Source organism: Homo sapiens, chromosome 15 (assembly GCF_000001405.40).
Source record: "Homo sapiens chromosome 15, GRCh38.p14 Primary Assembly".
Taxonomy (NCBI): Eukaryota; Metazoa; Chordata; class Mammalia; order Primates; family Hominidae; genus Homo; species Homo sapiens.
The window spans coordinates 32,685,567-32,709,760 of record NC_000015.10 but is presented as its reverse complement, the minus strand read 5'-3'; the positions used below and the strand labels follow the sequence as shown (position 1 = coordinate 32,709,760).

Sequence of the window (24,194 nt, the reverse complement as noted above, 5' to 3'; positions counted from 1 at the left end):
TTGGAGAGAGGATCAGAGAAGGAAGAAACCAATAGTAAGAGAAATTCCTTTATATGCACATGTATAATAAAATGTGAAAGAAAATCTACCAGTTGAGCATCGAGCTGCATTTTCCCTTAGGTTGAAAGTTAGCCAGTAGGAAGGAAACCTTTTCAAGGAGACTAGGTAACCTTGCCTGCAGTGTTTGTTTCTACACTCTGTTTTACTTGTTCGTGTGACAGAGAAAGAAAACAAAGCTGATGGACTTTGGACTGGACAATGTAGCAGTGTGTCCCCAGATACCAGCTTCCAGATGATCTCTCTTGGGTCTCCCAGATGGAGCAGAGGGTTTCTGGTGACTCTGGTCACTGCATCAGCCAGAGCAGACAGGATCTTAGAAGCTCCCAGGTGCACATATCTGCCTTTCCACGTCGCCACGATTTTGTAGGAAAGTGGCTGAGCATGGGATAGGCCCTTAAAGACTGTAAAGTGTGATTCTTGGTCATGTGGACATTAAGCCAAAGTAGAACAACTTTCTGAAAAAAAAAAATCGTAATGATTTTTGCAGTGCTACTCTGCTAGCCAGAGTGATCCATGGATGTCTGTGGAATAATTAGGATGTACTTCCCCTAGAGAAATGTATGTGCTGGTCTCTTGGCACGAGCAACTCCAGAAAGTTTACCTAGCCAACACCTCAGGACACTAGCCAGAACCCCTCGTTATGTTTCCACTCTTCCAACGAAGGAAGAAAGAAAAAAGGGAAGGAAGGGAGGGAAGGAGGGAAAGAGGGAGGGAGGGTATTGGTTCTTTTCAATAAGAAAGACAAATTATTTCAGATAACAGCAGCTTCCCTTAAATGGTATTTAAGCTTTAACTCTATAGTCCTAAATATCTATTTTAACAGCAGTGATTACTATGTGAGCTCTGCACTGTCAATCTAGAGAAAAGAATCTTGCCACTAAGAAGAATTTCAAGGTGAGAGTTCGCTTTTAATACGCACATATAACACAGACATTCAATTGCACACATGTAGAAAAGAACATGAGAGGAGTGCACAGCTGAGTAGCAAGCATCCACTCCTGCCCCTGGTGTTCAGTGCCAGCCTGATGGTCTCCAGCTAATGTTCTCTGTGCACATGCAACATTTGAGCCCAGCAGGAGCTGAGCACATACCACAGACCACCATGTTCACACGTTTGCTCTTGCTCCTCCCTCCCCTCAGAAGTTCCCACCCTTCTCTCTTCTGGTTGAATTCCTACTCTGACCTCAAGCCTCCTTCTCAGAGCCTTCTGCCTTTTCTATTATTCTTGTCATATTTTTCCTTTATTGTAGTTACATGTATGCTGGACACATCTTCTTCAATGAAATGTAGACTCCTTGCATGGAGAAAGTGTCTCCTTCCTCCTCTTTGAGTCCCTGTGGCCCTAGCACAGGCTGAGTTGAATCGTAACTAAAGTGCTCCAGGTCTCCTCATCATTTCCCCTGCTGTCTTCTATTTTTATCCCGTCACCTGTAGGAACTGTGTCGGAAGAACTAACTGCTAGAGTTTCTCCAAAGTGTCGCGGCCAGTGGCAGTCCAGTAGCTGTCTTGAGTCCATCCTGACTCTTCGCGGCCCATCCCCAAGTCCAGGTCACGGTCATTTCTCACCTAAAAGGTTGCAATTGCTTCTTTATTGCTCTCCCCACTTTCACCGATGCTGACCCAAAGCCACTGGACACTTCTTCTTTTTTGTTTTTTGCTTTTTTGTTTGTTTTGTTTTGTTTTGTTTTTTAGATGGAGTCTTGCTCTGTCACCAGGCTGGAGTGCAGTGGCGCAACCTCAGCTCTCTGTAACCTCTACCTCCCAGGTTCAAGTGATTCTCCTGCCTCAGCCTCCCGAGTAGCTGGGATTACAGGCGTGTGCCACCACACCCGGCTAATTTTTTTGTATTATTAGTAGAGATGGGATTTCACCATGTGGGCCAAGATGGTCTCAATCTCTTGACCTTGGGATCCACCCTCCTCGGCCTCTCAAAGTGCTGGATTACAGGTGTGAGCCACTGTGCCCAGCCTGGACATTTCTTAACTTATATACTAAGCCATGTCCTTCCTTTGACTAACGCCCTTTCTTCCTGGCTCTTACCAAATTTTTAAATTATGCAATTTGTAGATTTGCTTGGTTTTTGTCTGTTTCCTCCGCGTGCCTGTAAGCTCTGTGGGGGCAAGAACCGTCTTTGTGTGGCTCACTGAATCCCCGGCCTCTACATGGCACTTGGAGTACATAGATGCTCCCAGACCTTTGTTGAATGAATAGATTAAAAGTGCAGCTGTTCTTATTTTCCTTCCTGTTATAACCCTTGCTCTAGCCCCCTTTTTGCCTTGCTTCTGTTTCTGATTTCTCCTCCTTCATTTTTTTTTTTTTTTTTTTTTTGAGACAGGCTCTTACTCTCACCCAGCAGGCTGGCGTGCAGTGGTGAGATCACAGCTCACTGTACCCTTGACCTCCTAGGCTCAAATGACCCGCCCACTTCAGCCTCCCAAGTAGCTGGGACTATAGGCACACACTAATTTTTGTATTTTTCGTAGAGATGGGGTCTCACCATGTTGCCCAGGCTGGTCTCGAACTCCTGGGGGCAAGAGATCCACTCATCTTGGCCTCCCAAAGTGCTGGGATTACAGGCATGAGCCATTGGTGCCTGGCCTGGTTTCTGCATTTTACCTGGAACTCATTGGAGAACTGAAACTCAAGAGCCTCAAAATCTACAACTGAGCCTAGGGGAGCCTCAGTCCTTAGTTTTGTCGTGGAATCAGAGAGCACATTCCTGTGCTCCAGGTGCCCCACCCACTGAATAACAGCGGAGGCAATGATGGCACTGACTCACTCTGGAAACTGCAACTGCACCCCGATAAGTTCTCCCTGTAAAACCAGTCACAAGATGACATTCCTCAGACCCCAAAGAAGTGAGTAAGTTTTATGGCCTGTGTCAGGGTAACATGCACTCTGCTAAAAATAACATGGTAAAATTTCCTAAGAAATAAATAATGCACCATTACTTTGTGTTTCTGGGAAACCTTAAGGATTTGTTGTAGAAAGATATTTTAGTTTTCTTAGCCTGGTGAAAAAGCATGCAAAGGAAAAAGTCATATTGGATAAGAGAAAGAATATTTGGGTATGTGGCCAGGAATGATGCACGTTTTGCCACTTATTTCTTTTACGTTTTAATCTTTTTGGAAACAGAGGCAAGTAACTAGCCAAGTACATTTGAAGGGCATCCATAGTTCCAAATGCCTCTCCCTTTACAATTTATTGATGAAGGACTAAGTAGCTCATCTAATTCATCTTGAGGAGATAGGAAAATGCTTATGGCAACAGCATTTTATCATGGTTGTGAGGCTTCTGAAAACATAATTCCAAACGATAGGAATGGTTTGCAGAGCCATCTGGGAGGAGATGGGCTGATTAGGAATGTCTGGGGCCTTAGAAATAAATTCAGGTGAAGTCGAAGCATGTTTTTCAGATCTGGTAGATTTTTGTGAGACTATTTATGGCTGGGTGTAGTTTAGCAGGCTTCTCGTAGAGCAGTGGAGTCCCTGTGTTCTACAACCTTCCCTCCGGGGCTTTTGTATTCACCCATTCTCACACCATTTCTGGTTGCAATTGTGTGCAATGTTTCCCCAAATTCACTGTGTATCAGAGTCACTGGAGAAACAAAACAAAACAAAAAATTGATCCCCAGAGCTTGCTCTAGACTACTGAATCAGAATTTCCTGGGCCAAGAATCTGTATTTTTACAAAGCTCTCCAGATGATTCTGATAAGCAGCCAGGTTTGACAATCACTGGTGTGGTGGAAAGAATTCTGTTTGCATCTAAGCTCAACCACCAACTACCTAAGCAACTTTAGAGATGGCAACTCTTGGGCTATCAGGAAACAGAGAAAATGATGCCTATGTCACAGGGTTATTGAAGAATTAAAGGAAATTACATATGTGATCTATCCCAATGCAAATTTAGTAGGCTGCGTTAGTTAATACTCTGCTGATGACCTAGAAGCTTAAAAGAGTTTTTTTCTCTAAAAAAGTGTTTAGCTTCCTCTTCTGTGTTTGATTCCTTATGAAACTTGGTTTCCCCTTTCATCAGTCACCAAGGATCAGGCCATATGTAGATGAATCATAATACCATTATGCCATGTGTTCTAAGAGCCTTCCAAGTGCATTGCTGCAAGAAAAGCTCAACATTTAATGTATATTGTTTTTCGATATCTCTTTCCAAATTGCCAGTACAATTTCCATTCCTGGGAAATTACATAGACATGTCTGGATCCAGTTCTTTTATCTTTGCATTTCCAACTGCTCTGTTTTCCTTCTTTCTTCCCATCAAATTCTTATATTTTGACAGTTTTAAGACCAGCTCTTCCTTGATCCTTTCCTTCCTATAATATATTGAATTGAAGTGAGCCCATTTCCCTTAGTGAGCCTTCTCTCCAAACACAAAATACTCTGAAGTTCAGATTCTCCTTCTGTGAGTGGGTTAACATCACACAAAGTTTGTGGTTTCATCCATCATAAACAAGAGTGTTTTACATGAACTCTGTTTCTTGTCTCCCAAGAATCACAGAAAGGTTGGGGCAAAGTGAAATAAATTTTCAGAAAGAAAAGTTACTTATTAAAAATAGCAGTGATAAAAATATGTAGATTGATTTAGTAGGAAGAATTCGTAAATTGTTTTAACTTAAAAGGAAACACTCTTGCAGGCATTCACAATGAATCAGGAGGAAAACACTTTGGCTTCTTCAAAAAGCTATTTACTCTCTTTGGTGTTCACAAAACATATCCAACAAAAGCCTTTTCTCTTACGATGCGAGGGAAGAAGGCAAATTGCATTTGGGAGCATCTGATCATACTTCACTCAGGAATGTTATGGGTTTTGGTTGTGTGCCCAGCTGATCTGAGCATATTAGCAAACATAGTAATAGTATTAGCTGCTGACAGTGTTTGGTATCAAACACATCCATTTGCAAAAATAGAAGAAATACTATATTCACATTTTCAATGCTCCCCTTTACTTAAATACCACAATGTGGTTTGAGTTGTGAATCTATTGAAGACATCTTTGATGAATCAACAGTCAAGGCATATGTAGAAAGTGATTTGGAAAATTTTTCCTGGGTTGTTGGTGGGGGAAGGGAGATAGTGTTGGGACATTTTCCATTCTCGTTCCTGCTTTTTCATTGGCCCCTGCCGCTTCCTAAGTCTATCTGCTGTTAAATGAAGATAACTCCCTCTCTCATACCCCAACGTCTCATCTCTCAGGGCTTTCTGGAGTACGACAGACTAATTGCAAAGAAATTTGACCTTCTTGGATAACTGGTGCCATCTAAATACCACGCGTTATTCCCCTGTCAGACACTCTAACGTAGGATGAGCCAGGCTGAAATCTTCCAAAAGCTGTGGAGGATAAATAAGCTCACATTCCAACTCAAAAATCAACAATAACAAAAAAGCCAAGCATAGTGAAAAATGATAAAGATCAGCCTCCGCTGTCACCTTTTTCATTCATACCATTGTACTTTTGGGGTCTATGTCATGGGGATGGTTCCTATGTCAATCCTAATGATAAAGCTTGAGTTTGGTTTACGTCTGTGCTGCGATTATTCATCTTCTTTCAAGCACTATTTCTTACTTTATCAACCAGGAAGGCGGGAAAAAATGATCTCTAAAATTCTACGGTTTTTCACTTTTCTCCTTTGGAGCTATTATAAGATAGTAAATTGATGGTAAAACTGAGATCAGGACAGCTGGGCTCTACTTTGAATTTTCATAGAGCTTCAGCTTACCTGGGTTTTGGCTATCCCTATATGGAAAATATAGATCAGTGGTCTTCAGCGTTTTTGGCACCAGGGACTATTTTTGTGGAAGACAATTTTTCCGTGGATGGCAAGGGGCATATGGTTTTGGGATGAAACTGTTCCACCTCAGATTATCAGGCATTAGATTCTCATAAGGAGTGTGCAACCTAGATCCTTCACATGGACAGTTCACAATAGGGTTTGCACTCCTATGAGAATCTAATGCTGCCACTGATCTGACAGGAGGCGGAGCTCAAGCCGTAATGTTCACTCGACCGGGGCTCACTTCCTCCTGAATGGCCCAGTTCCTAACAGACCACAGACCAGTATTGGTTGGTGGCTCAGGGGTTGGGAACCCCTGATGTAGCTGATACCTGACTCCTCAGGAGACAGGCTTTTGGAAGCAAACTGGAACACCAAATAGATGCACTCCCACAGATGTTGAAGTTGGAAGAGAAAGAAAAACATCTATTTTTCTGCTGCTGTTTCTGCTATGAGAGATGGTAGCTGCAGGCAGACTCACCATTCTTGTGTCAAGACAATGACTTTGGGAGTATCACACATCATTGGTAGTGATGTGGTGGTGGCAGTGACACCAACCACTATTTCCTGACCTCTGGATTCCAGCTATGTGCGTGACCTTGAACTGGTTAAACTGAACTGTGGATCCCTGCCTCATGCTCCTCCACTTCTTTAAATAATTTTGTAAGCACATAATTCCTTGCATTAAATCCCTTTCATATGGAAATATCCAGAGTAAAGAGTTTGTTTCTTGCCCTGAAATCTGATGAATTCTGAATTTGGCATCTAAATAGAGGTTTAACACAGGTGCCATATTGCAGGGAATTTCACATCACAGGATCTTCACATCAATATGATAAGGTAAGTATTACCTTTCCCATTGGTTACATGAAAGAACTAAGGTTTAGTGAGATGGAATTATTTGCTCAAGGCCACACAACTTGTAAGTCACAGAACCCGTCAAATGCAAATCTAATTACAAAGTTTTTGTATCTAACTACTCTGTTAAACTGTGATGCCATGGGATCAAGTGTGTAATAATAGTGTACAAATAGCTGAATATTTATGGTTGCAAATGTGCTTTAAACTCCATGAAGGAAGAGCCTATATCTTATACCTCTTTAGTAAGACTCCCCAGTCCCAGAATATAGCTCAGTATTTGGCACATAGAATAGATCCTTGATAAGTTACTGCTGAATGAATAAATGAATGGTATCGTGATGAGTCCTAACAAGGAAGGTGACACCTTGTGGGGAAGTCACTATAGTTTCCAAATGGGCTTTATTAAGATGCGTCTCACTCCTCAGGTGTTCAGTTGCCACTGCTAAAAGCCATTACAAATATTTTTGTTTCCTGTGTGTATAGTTATGGTTTCTGTTCAGAAGAATGGCTTATCAACAAGTTCTACTGGCACATAACATTCATCAAACAATAGAACATTCAGTCTATTAGGATGGGCTGTTAGGTTTTTCTAACTCAGCCCATCTTATAGCAGCTCTTTTCTAAAAGAGCCTTTCTTTTGCAACTTATAAGTTAATAAGTTTTTAAACCCAAATTCAAGGACATGGTTCTACAAGAATCTTTGCAAACACCCTGCCTTTACTTGTGGCCTTCAGAAGCCGATGTGTGACACCCATAAATGTCTTACCAACTTTCTCCATGGATTCCTCTGTGCCCATTTGGAATCAAGTTTTCTTTTACTATATAGTTACGATAATTTTCAGTGGCCCTTGCCTTCTCACGGGGCTTTCTGGCCACCAAATCTGCCATATTCTACACATTTTCTTTTAATTGCCAAACCCATGTGTATTTTAGCAGGAAATTTGATCCACATGTTTCTGATTCACCTACACTTAAGTCACCAGACAATTTTGGAAGAGCAGCCTGATGGCCAAAAAGGCTTGGTAGAGTCTCCTTTCCCTTTAGAAACAGAAAGTTGAGTATGTGAAGTACAAGCTCCCCGAATCTTGCCAGGACTGGGCTGTTGGTAAAACCCAGGCTTCAGGAGGCTTCAAAGAATACTACTTTCTCAAGATATACTCCTGGCTAGGTGTGCCAATTGACTTTCTAAATTATGTCCTGGAGCACTTTGAAAGTTGATGGCCTGGATACTTCCCTGACCCCTCCTTAGGACTTTCCTCCTACCCTCCAAGTTTGCTTCTCATTGAGTGGCCAATGTTTCCCCAGGTTTCTCTGTTCTAATCCCCAAGGCTGTTGCCACAGCACATGATACCAGTGAAGGGCTGGGATATGCCTTCTGCACTGCCCATGTGGCTTTCCCATGGTCAGAGAGGGAACACTGGTCGATGAAAACCCACAGCAGAACCCAATGCTCTGTCTGCCCACAGATCTGCCTTGATGGTGAGCAGGGCCGTCCCACGCATCTGGTCTGTCTCCCTAATAAATGAATCATGCACAACCGTCATGGTGTGCAGCAAACTGAGATATTTGGCAGGAACTCTGTGCCTTGACACTTCCTGAACTACCGACACTTGAGCAGTGACTCAGAAAAGAAGCGGGTAGTTCTACTGGCTGATTCTATGAAAGACTTGAGGGCCGGGCGCAGTGGCTCACGCCTGTAATCCCAGCACTTTGGGAGGCCGAGGCGGGCGGATCACAAGGTCAGGAGTTCGAGACCATCCTGCCAAACGTGGTGAAACCCCGTCTCTATTAAAAATACAAAAAAAATTAGCCAGGTGTGGTGGTGGGAGCCTGTAGTCCCAGCTACTCAGGAGGCTGAGGCAGGAGAATGGCGTGAACCCAGGAGGCGGAGCTTGCAGTGAGCCGAGATCGTGCCACTGCACTCCAGTCTGGGCGACAGAGCGAGACTCCGTCTAAAAAAAGAAAAGAAAGACTTGAGAACCATGTTCACAACTTCACATCAATCTGTAAATCCCACCAAAGTGAGAGGTAATTCCACCTTTCCCTCTGTACACAGTCTAAGATGATTTACCTTTTATGACGTCTTTAAAACATTCCATCATGCTCATTCATTCAGCAGTTATTATTGCCTTTGTTAGGCCGCGTGCAAGATATCAAGATAAAAAGAAAAATGAGACACAGCCTATGGCTTCAAGGAGCTTATAACCCAGTTGAATGAGGCACATATATAATAAGTAAACAAGTATTAGGTGTGCCAAATTAAGTTCAGCCCAAAGCTGCCTCCTTACATAGTGAAAGCTCGGCCTAAAGTTTTCTCTGTACATAGCAAACTGTAACCTAGCTGGATGTGTAAACAGGCTGTAACCTACTCTTGTGCCAATCACTGAGATTCGGCCAAAGGTGGCCAACTGTTCAAACCATGTTCAGATAAGGCAAACACTGAAATGTAACCAATACGGCTGTTTCTGTCCCTCACTTTTCGTGTACCTCACTTTCCTTTTGCTGTCCATCGGTTGTCTTCAACCACACGGCAGTGCAGAGTCTCTCTGAACCTGTTTTGCAAATTGCTCTTTACTCAAAGTCTGTTCAGTTTAATCTGTCTAAGGTTTCTCTTTTAACAGGTGGTAGTGTGGTACAGGGGAGAGTGTCTACTGTGGAGTCCCAGAGGCCTAAATTCAAGTTCCAACTCTGCCACTTACTAGTTGAGGAGTTTTGGTTAAGTCATGGAATCCGTCTGCCTCAATGGCTTCATCTATAAAATGTAGGGCGGGATGTTTAAATGAACAATGTATACAGAGCTTGTTATGTATATAGAGTAACTCTTATCATTATGCCCCGTTTCAGGGACTGTATGAAAGTATGCGTGGGGTCCCACAGGAACACAAAAAGGGATCATAAGAGAGAAGTAATTAACCATGTCCTCCCCTACCCACTCGCAGCTAGAAGAATGAGTTCCTCTAGCTGACAATCTATTTTATTTATTTATTTATTTTTGAGACGGAGTTTCGCTCTTATTGCCCAGGCTGGAGTGCAATGGCGCCATCACGGCTCACTGCAACTTCCACCTTCCGGGTTCAAGTGATTCTCCTGACTCAGCCTCCCAAGTAGCTGGGATTACAGGCATGCGCCACCAGGCCTGGATAATTTTTTTTTTTTTTTTTTGTACTTTTAGTAGAGATGGAGTTTCACCATGTTGGTCAGGCTGGTCTTGAACTCCTGAGCACAGGTGATCTGCCCACCTTGGCTGGATCACAAAAGTGCTGGGATTACAGGCGTGAGCCACTGTGCCTGGCCGACAATTTATTTTTAATAAATGTTCCCATTTTCCTGGCTCTCCTGTCCCCCTGGCCAAGGCAGTGGCACTTTAGTGATCACCATGTGATCCTGTGACAGATAGGGGATCTGGAGGGTTTCGTTCTCCAGGACCTAACCCTGTGGCTGGTATCTGTGAGATTTATATGTGAAGCCTGGTATCTCTCAAAGGTTTCAAAGGAAAGAGGAGGAGAAAAGATGTTTCTGCTATTCCTTTGTGCCTAGCTGAGTAAATAGGAAAGGTCCTCGTCGCAGCCTTGCCAAAGAAATAGAATTCTGTTCCAGGAGTCTTGGGAAGTGTGGAGTCAGGGTCATGCTGCTCCTCATTGTGTGGCAGTGACTGTGGAACTGTGGATCGAGTGGATGACTCAGTTTTCCAAGCTCATATCACCTCCAGGTAGCTGCCCAACCCAGACAGACCCCCAACTCACTGGCAGAAACACTTCCAACTCTGAATTGCTCCCTTCAGGACCTCCAGGTGTGTTCCGGAACACTGCATCTTTGGGTGTAAACACATTTGGAAGAGCCATCCCTAGAAGACTCAGCCTGGTGACCTGGCACGTGACTCACTTTGAAGGCAGTGGGAGGGGAGGATGGCTTTGCACAAACGCTGTAGGAAACACTCAACAATCTATTTTCTCTCTCCCAGTAGCAAGAACGGAGGAAATTCTCTTCTAGAATGACTCCATTGTAAACCCCTCCTCATGCTGTGTGACTGCTCTGAGGCTCCAGCTGGCTGTGTCCACAGTGGGAGTTCAATCAGGATGAATGGCTGTGGTGCTAGCACCATCCTCTTCTTTTGTTCTCCACATGTCTCTGGGGTGACTATAACCACCTTTCTGGTTTCAAAGATCCTCAGCTGGAGCATTGTGGGAAGACTGAGATAGGAGTAATGACCCTCTCCAGCCCACAGGCAAATCCCTCTGTCTGTGCTGCAGATGCCCAGCTGACTCCATTCAGAAAGAAAGGGCCTTTCTGAGTCTGTCTAATGGAGGTTCTCCTTGTCTCCTGCCTCTAAGTTTCCTATTTTTTTTTCCAGGAAAATCCCTTCTCCTTCCAGCCACTCTGACTTCACTATCTAGTTCATCACCACTAGCCCCAGCCAGATTTTCTCTCCCGTGGATCCCTCTGCTACTTCCCTAGCACCTTGGGACAACTCTTCATTCACCTTCCTTTTTGGCTTCCTCACATTGTCCACAGCCTTATGTAGCCTTATTCTACCTTGTCCAACATTGCTATTTCCAGGCCAGTTTTTTGTTGTTTTTTTTTTTTTTGAGACGGAGTCTCACTCTTGTCACTTAGGCTGCAGTGCAGTGGTGCCATCTCAGCTCACTGCAACCTCTGCCTCCTGGGTTCAAGCAATTCTCCTTCCTCAGCCTTCGAAGTAGCTGGGATTACAGGCATGCGCCACCACACCCAGCTAATTTTGTATTTTTAGCAGAGACAGGGTTTCTCCATGTTGGTCAGGCTGGTCTCGAACTCTCGACCTCAGGTGATCCGCCTGCCTTGGCCTCCCAAAGTGCTGGGATTACAGGCATGAGGCACCACACCTGGACTCCAGGCCAGTTCTTACCATGATCTACTCTTACTTTTTAACCATTAACTGTGGTTCTATTGTTGAATTTTTCAAATACATACAAACATAGAAATAAGAAGTGCAAGCCAGATGCGAGGGCTCATGCCTGTAATCCCAGCACTTTGGGAGGCCGGGGTGGGCGGATCACTTGAGGTCAGGAGTTTTGAGAGCAGCCTGGCCAACATGATGACACCAAGTCGCTACTAAAAATACGAAAATTAGAGGGTGTGGTGGTGGATACCTGTAATCCCAGCTATTCCGGAGGCTGAGGCAGGAGAATCGCTTGAACCCAGGAGGTGGAGGTTGCGGTGAGCTGAGATCACACCAGTGCACTCCAGCCTGGGTGATACATCAAGACTCTGTCTCAAAAACAAAAAAAAAAGCAACAAAAAAAAAGATATAAGAAGTACAATGAACTCCCAAGTACCCTTGACCCAGCTTCAACAGTTATCAGTGTATGGCCAGTCTTGATTATCTATATCCCCATTCCCTCCTGGCCCTCCACCTCATCACTACCACTGGATTATTTTAAAGAAATCCAAGACATCATATCATCTGTAAATAATTCAATATTTATCCCTAAGATATAAGGGCTCTTTTAAAAAAATAGCCATAATATAATACTGTGTAACACTTGAATCATACCAAAATATTCAGTTACTACTCAAACTTCCCTGACTGTCTGATCAATGCTTTTCTTTGAGTCAGGATGCAAATAAGACCCACACACATTATATTTGGCTCGTATGTCTCTTAAGCCTTTTAAAATCTATGATAGTACCCCACCATTTTTCCCTCCTATCATTTATTTGTTGGAAAAATCTAGGCTACTTATCCTGTAGAGACTCTTCATGCTGGATTTTGCTGATGATTCCCAATGGTGTGTTGAACGTATCTCAGTGTGTTGAATGCATCTCAGTTCTACCATCTGTAAAATGGGGATAATACCAGACCCATTAAGTTCACAGCATTATTGTTTGGATCATATACTATCATATATGTAGATCAGGTTGTTCTATTAAACAAAGAAATTGTTCTTTATAATGCTTTAAAAAGAAAACTCCATATGCCAATGCTTGCATTCATGTTTATTAAGACGCAGCCAAGTGAAATGTGTCAGCTCCTCCTCTTGAGTACAGCCTTCTTTACTGGTGTATAACAATGCCCAAGGGCTGGATGAACTACATAATCAAAATCAAATGACAGCTTTCTACAGACTTGGCCAAAATAGTACAACCTCAGACACCATTTTAAACTGCAAGAAATCTGAGCCTTTCATAGTCTTGCTTTTTATTGTTGACATTCACATTTTAATTTTTATGATCATTGCAGATTCACATTTTAAAAACCCAAGAAACAAAAAAGCTCTTATTCTAATTTAGCAAAAAGCAGAATCATCGGTGTGAAGACAATACACTATCTACATACAGCTGCTTTGTATCCATAATTATCTATGTAAGAAACATGCTGTCATTCACAGGGACTCCATTTACACGTGCACATAAGCCATGCTGAGGCCTAACAGGTAATGTGGGTTTTCGTCTAGCATCTTCTCTTTACTCTGGATCCTTATCCTCATCTGAAAAATGGGGGACAGACTTCTTTGCAACAACATTATCCAGTCTCTGTCCTTGTAGATATGGATTGACACTCTGAAAAACAAACAAACAAAAACCATGTGGTTTGGTGTTATATGTGAACATCAGATACAGACATCTCAGAAAAGAAATGAACAAGAATCGTTTCTGGGGCCGGGCGCGGTGGCTCACGCCTGTAATCCCAGCACTTTGGGAGGCCGAGGTGGGCAGATCACGAGGTCAGGAGATCGAGACCATCCTGGCTAACACGGTGAAACCCCGTCTGTACTAAAAATACAAAAAATTAGCCGGGCGTGGTGGTGGGTGCCTGTAGTCCCAGCTACTTGGGAGGCTGAGGCAGGAGAATGGCGTGAACCCGGGAGGCGGAGCTTGCAGTGAGCAGACGTCATGCCACTGCACTCCAGCCTGGGCGACAGAGCAAGATTTTGTCTCAAAAAAAAAAGAAAAAAGAAAAGAAAAGAATTGTTTCTGGCCTATTAGGTTAACAACAATGTAACCAGTGGCACCTACCAACTACCAAACAATTACTCCAGTGTACTAATTAATACCTCAGTGGCCTATGAAACATTTTCTGACTGATAGATGTCTCTAATTGTGTTTTTCACACAACTATAGAGCTCTTTATCAGATACAATGTGGTCTTTTTAAAAATTATTATTTTTGGTGCAAAGAAGTGCAGTAAACCACCTCATAAGTCCTTGCTACTAATTTAGATACCAAGACCCATAAGAAAGATAATTATTATTCTATGGCCCTATTTAGGTAGGAAGGGGAATCTGAAATGCATTAAATTATATTTTGCAAGAAAAACGTTCTAAAGGAGAAGAGTAGGGCCAAGTGGGAATTAACATCTGAAGACTGGTCCCAGATCATCCTGTTGCTGGGATTGATTCTTCCTCGCCAGTATTTTACTAAGGAGAATTCATTAGGGGCTCGAGTGATCATTTCCACCTTCCTTCAGTCAAATTCAAAAACTGAAGCAAAAAAGGAAGCTTCCGGGAAGGGTCCTTTGTTTTTGACTCAAGACTCCATACTCTGAAATCACTTTCATGTGTTGGTATTCTTAATGAGTAAATATTTTTCCATTCCTTCTCTAATACATATCTATTTATTGAGGTGTGGATTCGAACTAGTAATTGAAACTTTACAAAATAGTATTTAGCAAGCAGAAGAAAAATTCAAAAGTTTTGGAAGATGTTTGTTCATTGAAGTTGCCTTCCAATAATGGAACAAAAATATAAGAAAGAAGCTGTAGCCAGGCGCGGTGGCTCACGCCTGTAATCCCAGCACTTTGGGAGGCCTAGGTGGGCGGATCACAAGGTCAGGAGATCGAGACCATCCTGGCTAACACGGTGAAACCCCGTCTCTACTAAAAATACAAAAAATTAGCCAGTCGTGGTGGTGGGCCCCTGTAGTCCCAGCTACTTGGGAGGTTGAGGCAGGAGAATGGCAGGAACCTGGGAGGCGGAGCTTGCAGTGAGCCGAGATTGCGCCACTGCAGTCCAGCCTGGGCGACAGAGCGAGACTCCATCTCAAAAAAGAAAAAAAAAAAAAAAGAAAGAAAGAAGCTGTAGTTACAAACGATCAGCAATCCCTGTTGCATGCTCAATCCCCATGTATGAATGGAGTCTGTTCACAGGTGGAGCTCTCTTGCCCATGAAATAACCTGCCATGACTCTTGAAAGGTGAGCAGACATTCTTCAAAAGAGAAGGAATGAAACCTGAGTTTAGCATTTACAAATGTTCTTTCACATTCTGACTGCTAAACGCATGAATCGTGAAAGGTCCGACTCACTCTACAAAGATGCATCACAAAGTAGGTGAGAATTACAAAGTGAGCAATGTCCTCAGACACTTGAAAAGTGACATGCCACAAGACAACACCTTGCTGAGAATTCATCTTAGAAATATTTAAAATAATAAAAATTCCTTTTATCAATTACAGTGGTTTGGCCTACCCCAGGGGATCATATCAGAATTTTGTTTAGTAATATTTATTCCAAAAATTCTAATATGTTAAAGGAGGATATGAGAGGTTCAAGTTTATCAAATATGAGATTAAAAGGTTCATAAACTGTTTAAATAAGATCAATAGTAGAGCTCAAATATTAACAAGATACAGCTTAAGAGTTTAAAAGTTCACAGTCATTTAAAGGTAGATTGACATTTCATTTGTGAAGCAATGAGGAATTCAATTGGATTTGGGTGAGTACAAAAAGTTGTTCAAAGCCATATGGGGCTTGGTTGCAACTTTGAGGAGAATCTATCTCTCATGGGAGAAGTCCTGCCCAGACCTACAACATGCAAAGGTTGGAGGGGAGGGGAAAAATTAATGAGGAGGTAAAAAGAGGAATCAGGTGAACTTTTTTGATAAATATTTAACTGAGTATTGAATCCAGCACTTAGGAATAATAATAATGAGCTTTGGGTTTGTTTTTGTTTTGTTTTGCTTTGTTTTGAGATGGAGTCTCACTCCATTACCCAGGCTGGAGTGCAGTGGTATGATCTCGGCTCACTGCAAACTCCACCTCCCAGGTTCAAACGATTCTCCTGCCTCAGCCTCCCGAGTACCTGAGATAACAGGAGCATACCACCACGCCCGGCTAATTTTTGTACTTTTAGTAGAGATGGGGTTTCACCATGTTGGCCAGGCTGGTCTTGAACTACTGACCTCAGGTGATCCACCCTCCTCGGCCTCCCAAAGTGCTGGGATTACAGGCGTGAGCCACCATGCCTAGCTGAGCCTTGGCTTTAATTGTGCTCTGAAAAACTCAAGGCACTGCTATATTTGTCTTCTCTCACTTGGGCAAGAGATTGGGTAGGGCACACAGAGAACATGATTCCCATTTCACAACTGGAAGAACCACTGGGATTGGATCTTTGCTTACAATGTCCTCTGGAAACTCACAGCAGATGCTGAGCTTCACTGAAGGAAGACTTCATTGTTCAAAAAAGAAAGCGTATAGTTTCTTTATATTGATTCATGTACTGGGGGTGGTGGTGGGGCAGTGTTAATGTCTTTAATCAAGATGGGAACATCATCTGAGACCTCATGATGGGCAGGGCCAACGTGCTTCCTTATCAATCCAGAGAGGCCCATGGTTTATGGCATGAGAATGGGTCTTTGTAGATGCCCAAGAACAGGAAGAACTTGATATCTCTGGGTCAAAGTGACCCTTCTTTTCCTAAATTCTAAGCCTTTCCTATGTGGAGGAAATTGAGGCTAAAGTAAAATCCTTTATAGCATGTGTCTTAGCCAGCATTCTGAGTTTTGGTAATCACTAGTCTCACGGAAAAATGACCTAAATCGTGACCATGGTCATTCACTGAGTCAGGGCAGAAGGAATGGTGGGCCAGGAAGTAGAGACAATTAAAGTTTCAAGCTAAGTTATTGATTTTGGGTCAGTCATTGCTCTTATTTGGAAATGTTCTTGTTGTGTTGTAGGGAGATATTCAAGCCGTGTTACTGGTAAATTATGTGTATTTTGAGTTCCTAGAATAGAATTTCTTGATGTTCCCTCAAGACCACATTATACCCTTTGGACCCTTTCTGTCACCATCTGCTATTGGAAGCTGTAATCACCAAGAAAAACCCCTAATAACTCTGTTAACTCTCCTCAAAAAAGATTTGTTTCCAGAGGTAAAAATTTTCTACTTCTCGCGTAGAAAATTGCTGTATGTCTTCTGTGTTTTGTCAGGCAGTACAGGGGCTTGGAACCTTCTGTTGTGGGGGCCTGAGGACTGATGCTGAGGCCAGAAAATCCACACCTCTTGAAGCTCTCTCTGACCGGATTTGGCAAAACCCTTCAGAATGGCCACAATTACCACTGCCCAGATTCCCAAATTTTGTGAGGATCCAGGCACTTGCTCTTCTGAATAAATAGTCAGTGGCTTTGAGTACGTGCTTAGGTTTGTATGTTTTAACTAAAATGGTCACTATCTCATAGCATTTTACCATGTAACAGTGGGGTTGTTTTTTCTCCCACTTTCATCTGATCAGATAAAGAAGGAGGTAGGTGGCCAGGCCCTTCTGACTAGTAAGGTACCAGTGGATTAGCAGAATGGACCTTGATCACTTATCAAGTCTTGATGCTATAAAATACCCTGGAAAGCCAAAGCAAATGTGACATTGAGTTTTACGTGAGGCAACACTGTATATGAAGTAGCTAAATGTGGAGTATCTAGACCAAGTTCCTACCTTGGGCAGCCCTGGGATGGTTAAAAACTAAGCCTGCAGTAAATTCAACAGACAGCAAACAAATATTACAGATCTAGTAGATTTTACATCAGTCTGGCTAGGCCAAGAAAAAAAGATACATAGGAGAAATTAAGTTTGTTCATCTCATCTTTTGCTCCCGAATTCCTTCAAAGTTATTTCCTGGAGCATGCAGTTCAGCACTTCCCTGTTTCTGTCCTGTGTTTTTATAGAATTGATGCAGATGTGTGATCAGTTTTTCCCCACTGGCCTACAGACCCTGGGAGGGCAGACAGACCCTCATGTCCCCCCAGATATGTCCCACACTGATGGGGGAAGCAATACACATTTCCTGAACGGAATGGAGTTGCTAGAATTGCTACAGACTGCGCGTTCCACTAAAAATCATCTGCTAAAGCCTGGGGAAGCCATCGCAGAAACCAAGGACAGACTTTCTGGGTGTGGCCCTTGTCACATGGACCAGTGTTTCTCAGGACTACACAAGGGAGGATTCTGTGACTTCCCAACAAGCGAGGGTTTCAGCCTGTTCACTGCCCCACTCAGAAAGCTCCAAGCATCCCCGCAACAATCCAGCCAGGCACGTGTTACCCTCCGCTTTCGTCTCTCTCCTCCCTTCATCTTCTCGTAAAGGAGTTTCTTGTTCTAGAATGGGGAGAAAAGAAAACAAAAAATGCAGAAGTATGGATCAAATTTGGTGAATGTCTATTTTAAAAGCAATACTTGGTGTGTCCCCTAGATATTTGCATACGCATATTTTGGAAACAAAACTAGATGAAAGGAATGTCGTGTCAGAAAGATAGACCACAAGAGTAAAGCTGGTGGTGGTTCGGCTTTTAATAAAGTCCTCTGCAATGCCCTGAGGCACACCAGTGTCATCAACAATCACATAAACAGGGAAATACGACATTTTAAAACATGAAGGGTGCTGGAAACCCATCTCCTCACTTTGAACAGCCTTTGTTTAAAACAAATGATTTTATCTCATTTATTTTTGTATCTAACTCCCTTTTTATAAACTGCTCTCTAGAGTAGCGTCTGACTATTAACAACAATCCCCTGTGTAAATAAACGAGACATTCTGACTTCTGCAACCATTTTGTCTGTGGCGTTAAGTCAGTGCCCCCAGTCAAGACAATTGGAAAACCATTTGGTCTATAACATTTTTAATAGAGTGAACCTTTTAAAAACTGCCAAAAAACTTCTTGGCAGAAAGGAAAGTTATGTTGGGTCGGGGGGCAGGGCTCTGTTACCACAGTTTGTGTAAGTGTTTCCACACATTGCTGTATTTCAAACACATAGTGGGCTTCAATGAGCTCTAGAATATCAGACACATGCTCAACAGATTTCCCTTCTATTGAGATTATAAAAGACAGAACACTTAACCTGAAGGCAGAAAGGGAGAAGGGGATTTGGTGGCGGTGGGGGGGGGCTTTACTTGTGTTGTTTTATTTATTTGATTTTTTTTATCTGGAGGAAAATGATGTATAAAAGAGGTGATTCGTTTTGTTCTAAATAAAATACTCTGACATTAAGAAAAAAAAAAAACAAAGACAACCACAGAGTTCTGGTAAGGAACAAGTTTATACAACATGTATCCTCTGAGCTGTCCACTTATAAAGACTTATTTTTAGTGATAGATTTGGAATTGAAAATGACAAATGCCAAGAATGAGCTTCATCATTTTTCACGTTCATTAAAATCTACCCCACCTGCAATTTACAATGCATATCTCTTGCCCAACCTCAACTATGCAAGGAGGCGGTGCCAGAGTGAAGGAGCCTCTACTACCAAAAACACCAGTACTGGCTACAGCCTCTATCTCCTGCTCACTTGGGGAATAAATCAATTTAATATCGGAAGGGAGAAAAGGCAGACTTGCAGATCATTTCCTTGAGGAATGAGGATATTGCTGTGAGGCTCATTCTCTACAGTCTGTGGTTGCCTTTCTGTGAACGTAAAAACTCCTGAGGCAGAGAATATCCGAAGAGCTGGTGTTAGAGCTGGGAAGGCCGGGAAGGGGTGAGGACATGTCTTCTTCATGTGTACCATTGTTTTCAGCTGCCTGAGCTGGATGGAGTGTGGAAGAACCTGAGAGCTACTACCATGGGGTGGGACTGTCAGCCAGCTCTGGCAGAGTTCCACTGTGCCATCAGCCAGGTAAAGCCAGCATCATTTAATTCTTTAGGAGATCTTGGGGGCAGATCCTACCCATAAGAGTCTTCATTCAAAAAGAAATGTGCCCCAGCACTTTGGGAGGCCGAGGTGGGAGGATCACGAGGTCAGGAGATCGAGACCATCCCGGCTAACACGGTGAAACCCCGTCTCTACTAAAACTACAAAAAATTAGCCGGGCGTGGTGGCGGGCGCCTGTAGTCCCAGCTACTCAGGAGGCTGAGGCAGGAGAATGGCATGAACCCAGGAGGCAGAGCTTGCAGTGAGCTGAGATTGCGCCACTGCACTCCAGCCTGGGGGACAGAGCGAGACTCCGTCTCAAAAAAAAAAAAAAAAAAGAAATGCAAAAGGCCTGGCTAATCTTCCTCTCAAAGATGGTCCCTGTGTCTCCTTAAGAGCTAGGGTTAGGATTAGCAGGATAATGCTTCCCTACCCCTGCATGAAAGTGTCTGGGACATTCTTAATTAGCCCTATTATTGTATGGACTTGAAGGCATTGGCAGGTATGGTATGGGTAAGAGAAGCATACAAATTGAATGAAAAGAAATCAGCTATCTCTCCTCACGCCCATTCCTTGTTGATTCCTTGGGGAGTGGTGAGCCTGTTTTCCATGTGAGTAGCAGGTTCAAGTTCATTAAAAGGGCTTTCCATAGTGCCATCAAGATTTTGGACAACTGTCCAGATCCTGGTTTCAAATTACACTCCTAAATACAGCCAGGGAGCTTCCTGGAGAAAAGTCTAATTCCAGGGCTAGGAAGGAAAGTGCAAGGATGGGTGAAGATGGAATAGCTAATTAGGTCAGAAAATAAAGAAGTGCTCAAAAAAATGATGAGGTCCTGTCAAAAGGAAAGAAAAGAAAGCTTGAGGAGACTCGCACTGGCCAAATTTAGGACAGTTTGAACACCAGAATACATAATAATATGCATTATGGAATCCATGAATCCATACTTATACTATATAAATAAACACATTTATAAATAAATAAATAAATAGAACAGCAGGGGAAACTCTTGCTTAGAATAGAATGTCAACTAGTAAATGCAGAAAGAATAGCGGAGTAAGAAAATCATCATTTTGCAGCTATCATCATTATTGAATCTGGTAAGCATCATCAATGGATGTTATATTTGTTGGTTAAAAGTTGAACGAGGAGCAGAATATTTACACAGCCCCAAAACTTCTTCCCACAGAGTAACTATTAATTTCTTTTTTTTTTTTTTTTGAGACGGAGTCTTGCTCTTTTGCCCAGGCCGGACTGCAGTGGCACTATCTCGGCTCGCTGCAAGCTCCGCCTCCTGGGTTCACGCCATTCTCCTGCCTCAGCCTCCCAAGTAGCTGGGACTACAGGCACCCGCCACCGCGCCCGGCTAATTTTTTTGTATTTTTAGTAGAGACGGGGTTTCACTGTGTTAGCCAGGATGGTCTCGATCTCCTGACCTCATGATCCGCCTGCCTCGGCCTCCCAAAGTGCTGGGATTACAGGTGTGAGCCACTGTGCCCGGCCTATTAATTTCTAAGGGAATTTTACACCAGAGAAACCTGGAGGGCAGCACCTTAACAAAGTGAACACTGCCAGTCATGAGACAAACTTCCCTGACATCATGTGCTTGCTGATGTAAAATACTAAGTAGGACATAAAATACTAAGCAGGTCTAATCACATGGAAACCTGAGTCAAATCCACATTGAAGAGCATTCAACTCATCAAACATGTTAAGGTCAGGAATGACAAAGCAAGTCAGGGAGGGGTCTGGTCCCTCATATCCCCGTGGCTCAGGCTCTGGCTGTGATCAGCTACTGATGAAAAGGTGTGAAAGCATTTGGAAAGGAAAAATATTTGCTTTTTGAGACAACTTTTTCTTAAGTAAATAACACTCAGCAGTTAATGTGTAAAGGGGGAGTGGGTAGCTGGCATGTACAGGAGCCAGCCATTGGTGTGGTCACCACTGGTGTAGTCACACACATTGTCTGGAAGGCAGCCAGCCCTCGGTAGGACTCAATAGGACTACCACACAGGACAGGTTAGGAGCAATGAGCCATGAAAAGATAGGGAATGTATTCAGCTTGTAAAGTACTCTGGAGTCAGATGATGGGGTTCAAATCCCAGCTCTGTGGGCTGAGCAGGCTCCTCAGCTCCCCAAGCCTGCATTTTCTCATCTGGAAAGTGAGAATGACAAGGATGGGCAGATTGAATAAGATTACTGAGTATTTAGAAAGGAGTCTGGCATATAGTATGTGGTCAATAAATATTACTATTTACTATTGTATTATATAGTATTATGTATTATGTAATACAATTACTATTATCATTCATCTTTGTATTCCCATTACCTAACACGGGGCCCGGAAGGCATATGATGTGTCGTTAATAAATGTGTCTTGATGCACTAACGAAGAGAGAAATGCAGGAAACAAGACAGACACTGAAATGTGTAATATGTGAATCACTGTTAAAGATGCAGCTCAGCTCCAGCTACTGTCAAAAACAAGGAAGCGTTATTAGCAGATAAGGAAGCAGGGTCTTTGTGCTGTTCTATCATGAAAGATGATGACTCTGTTAACTTAAAGGATGGCTGGGCTGAAGACAAGCTTGAGACTGTCATTCCATATAAGCACTGAGGAAGGTTTGTGGTTCCCAGTTTAGAAAAGCAAGACATACTCAATTCCCACTTCCATGTGAAAACCAAGGAAACAATGTTTTACTGGTAGGTAGTAATGAGAAAATAAACAAGGAGACCTAAGTTTAAGTAAACACATAATTGCAGATGATAAAAGGTATCTAAACATTGTTCCTGGTCATTGATCTCTAATATTTTCCTTTTACATTTGATCCTAGATTCTAGTCTTTAGCTCTAATGTGGACAAAGAATAGGAAACACTGAGAGAAACTCAAGTCAGTGTTTCGAGAAGGAAGCACAGAGAATGAAGGACCGTGGTTGGCCTCATACTGGGGCACTGGAAGTGAGTGGAATTTGATGAGAGAAATCTGTGAAGATTTTCAAGAAGAGATGAAGAGAGCTGAAAAGAGATGTTTTCATCCCTCCCACCTCATCATGCCACCAACTGGGCTCCTTGCCTTCACTCACACCTTGACTCAGTCTCCCTCCTTTCTTTCTCTCATTCCTAGCCTACTGGTGAAGCTGAAGACTTTCCCACCTGAAACTTCAGTGCTGCCCTCCTTAGTGCCTTTGACTTCCTCTGTGGCTACTACCCCAATCAGCCACACCAGTCCTCAGTTCTGGATCTTCCTCTACCCTTGTCTTCCATCTTCCCTAATAATTGCCCCTGGCCCTCAGAATACAGACGAAACATGAAGTGGAGCGGTGCTAAGTTGGGTTCATTTCATTTTCATGCAATTCATCTCAACCGTGGGACTATAAGCTCTCTGAAGACCAGCACCATGTCCTGATGACTCCTGCATACTGAGCATCTAGCACAGTGCCTGGAACACAGCAGGCTCAATGTGTTCTCTTTGTGCCTTATCGAACCTGGCTTTTGCTTCTGTTTGGCAATGCTTCGATCACCTCTTGTGGATCTCTTCCCAGTACTCCTCCGCAATCTACTCTTTCCCTCACTCTCTCTTCTCTTTTTTATGTCCTTCCTCCCTCTATTCCTCTCTTTTCTTTCTTTCTAAAATGCATTCAAAGAAAAAGTTCATATTGTCCATTTCATATGAACCTGACATATCTCTTCTTTCTTCTTCATGTTATATTTATTCCGTATACCAATTCTAGTTAGTTTTTCCCCCTTTAAAATGTCTTGGATTCTCACCCTTCTTCACGGTGTTCACAGTCATCATAACTGAAATGACTCCCCATATTTTCTTCCTGTCTAGGGTTAGTCTCTTCTCCTTTTACTTCATCCTTTAATATGCCATCAAAATAACTTCTTTTATAGAAGGCTTTTATTATTTCAGTCTCCTATTCGAGAACCTATAGATGTTTTTCTATTTAATTCAACATGTTTAAGCTCTACTACTAGGCTTGAAAGTGGCTCCACAAACCAATTCTTCCAAACAGAACTGTTTATGAAAAAGAAGGAAATGGAATAATGCAAATTGGAAGAAGCAAAATTAACTTAGGAATGTTGTTGCTTTGTTGTTTTAAGACAGGAAATGTGTGTATGTTGAAGACAGAGGGAACTGACAATGCATGTTAAAGCAAGACGCTGAAAAAAATAAAAGTGGTCATTAATGAAGATTTCTCTAAAACAATGTAGGAGGAAAGGAGGGAGTTTAGTTTTGAAATTTCAGTGTTCCCAGTAAAGCAGTAAGCAAGGCCATCTGCCAATAATGAGCTAAGAAGAGATGAGGACTTTAGAAGGGCTGAGGGAGTTGGAATATTTGCTCATTCACTCACTCATTCATTCCACAGACGTACTGGCCACCTACTGTTACATGTGAAGGAACACTCCTAGGTATTTCCCCACTTTTCTCCCATGGCTTCAGCATCTGGCCCAACCACAGAAACACAGACATATCCCCACTCAGTTCTGATCTTGTTTGGCTCATTGTTCTAGTCTGCTGGGATCTTCTTGAATCCCAACTCTGTCATCTGATGGTATCTCTTCCAACTTCATGTCATCCTCTGGGAATCTGATAAGTACAAGTTCTATA

General features: G+C 42.8%; 2 protein-coding genes and 1 long non-coding RNA gene across 6 annotated transcripts in view, besides 1 other annotated feature; 1 reads left to right on the top strand and 2 right to left on the bottom strand.

Moving 5' to 3' along the window:
* Positions 8,939-9,233: a silencer, noted in NCBI's record as "tiled region #2498; HepG2 Repressive DNase matched - State 5:Enh". NCBI's record gives its function as "represses a minimal TATA promoter and a strong SV40 promoter by Sharpr-MPRA in HepG2 cells {active_cell/tissue: HepG2}" and the evidence as "EXISTENCE:reporter gene assay evidence [ECO:0000049][PMID:27701403]".
* ARHGAP11A-SCG5 (ARHGAP11A-SCG5 readthrough) overlaps positions 12,663-24,194 on the bottom strand; it is an 81,623-nt gene continuing 70,091 nt past the window's right edge. Inside the window, exons 13-14 of the mRNA NM_001368319.1 lie at positions 17,998-18,051; positions 12,663-13,247 (exon numbers count right to left, since the gene is read on the bottom strand). Of these exons, the coding sequence (NP_001355248.1) occupies positions 13,152-13,247; positions 17,998-18,051 (150 nt within the window). The 3' untranslated portion in view covers positions 12,663-13,151. The remainder of the gene's footprint in view (positions 13,248-17,997; positions 18,052-24,194) is intronic.
* Positions 12,669-24,194, bottom strand: part of SCG5 (secretogranin V) — a 55,383-nt gene continuing 43,857 nt past the window's right edge. For 2 of the 4 annotated variants that reach the window (NM_001144757.3, NM_003020.5), the window contains exons 5-6: positions 17,998-18,051; positions 12,669-13,247 (exon numbers count right to left, since the gene is read on the bottom strand). In NM_001144757.3, the coding sequence (NP_001138229.1) occupies positions 13,152-13,247; positions 17,998-18,051 (150 nt within the window). In that variant the 3' untranslated portion in view covers positions 12,669-13,151. The remainder of the gene's footprint in view (positions 13,248-17,997; positions 18,052-24,194) is intronic. The other 2 variants (NM_001394278.1, NM_001394279.1) reach the window with 1 other exon arrangement.
* Positions 19,498-22,899, top strand: LOC105370756 (uncharacterized). The gene is made up of 2 exons (XR_932083.3): positions 19,498-19,566; positions 22,416-22,899. It is a non-coding gene; the product is annotated as an uncharacterized LOC105370756 (long non-coding RNA).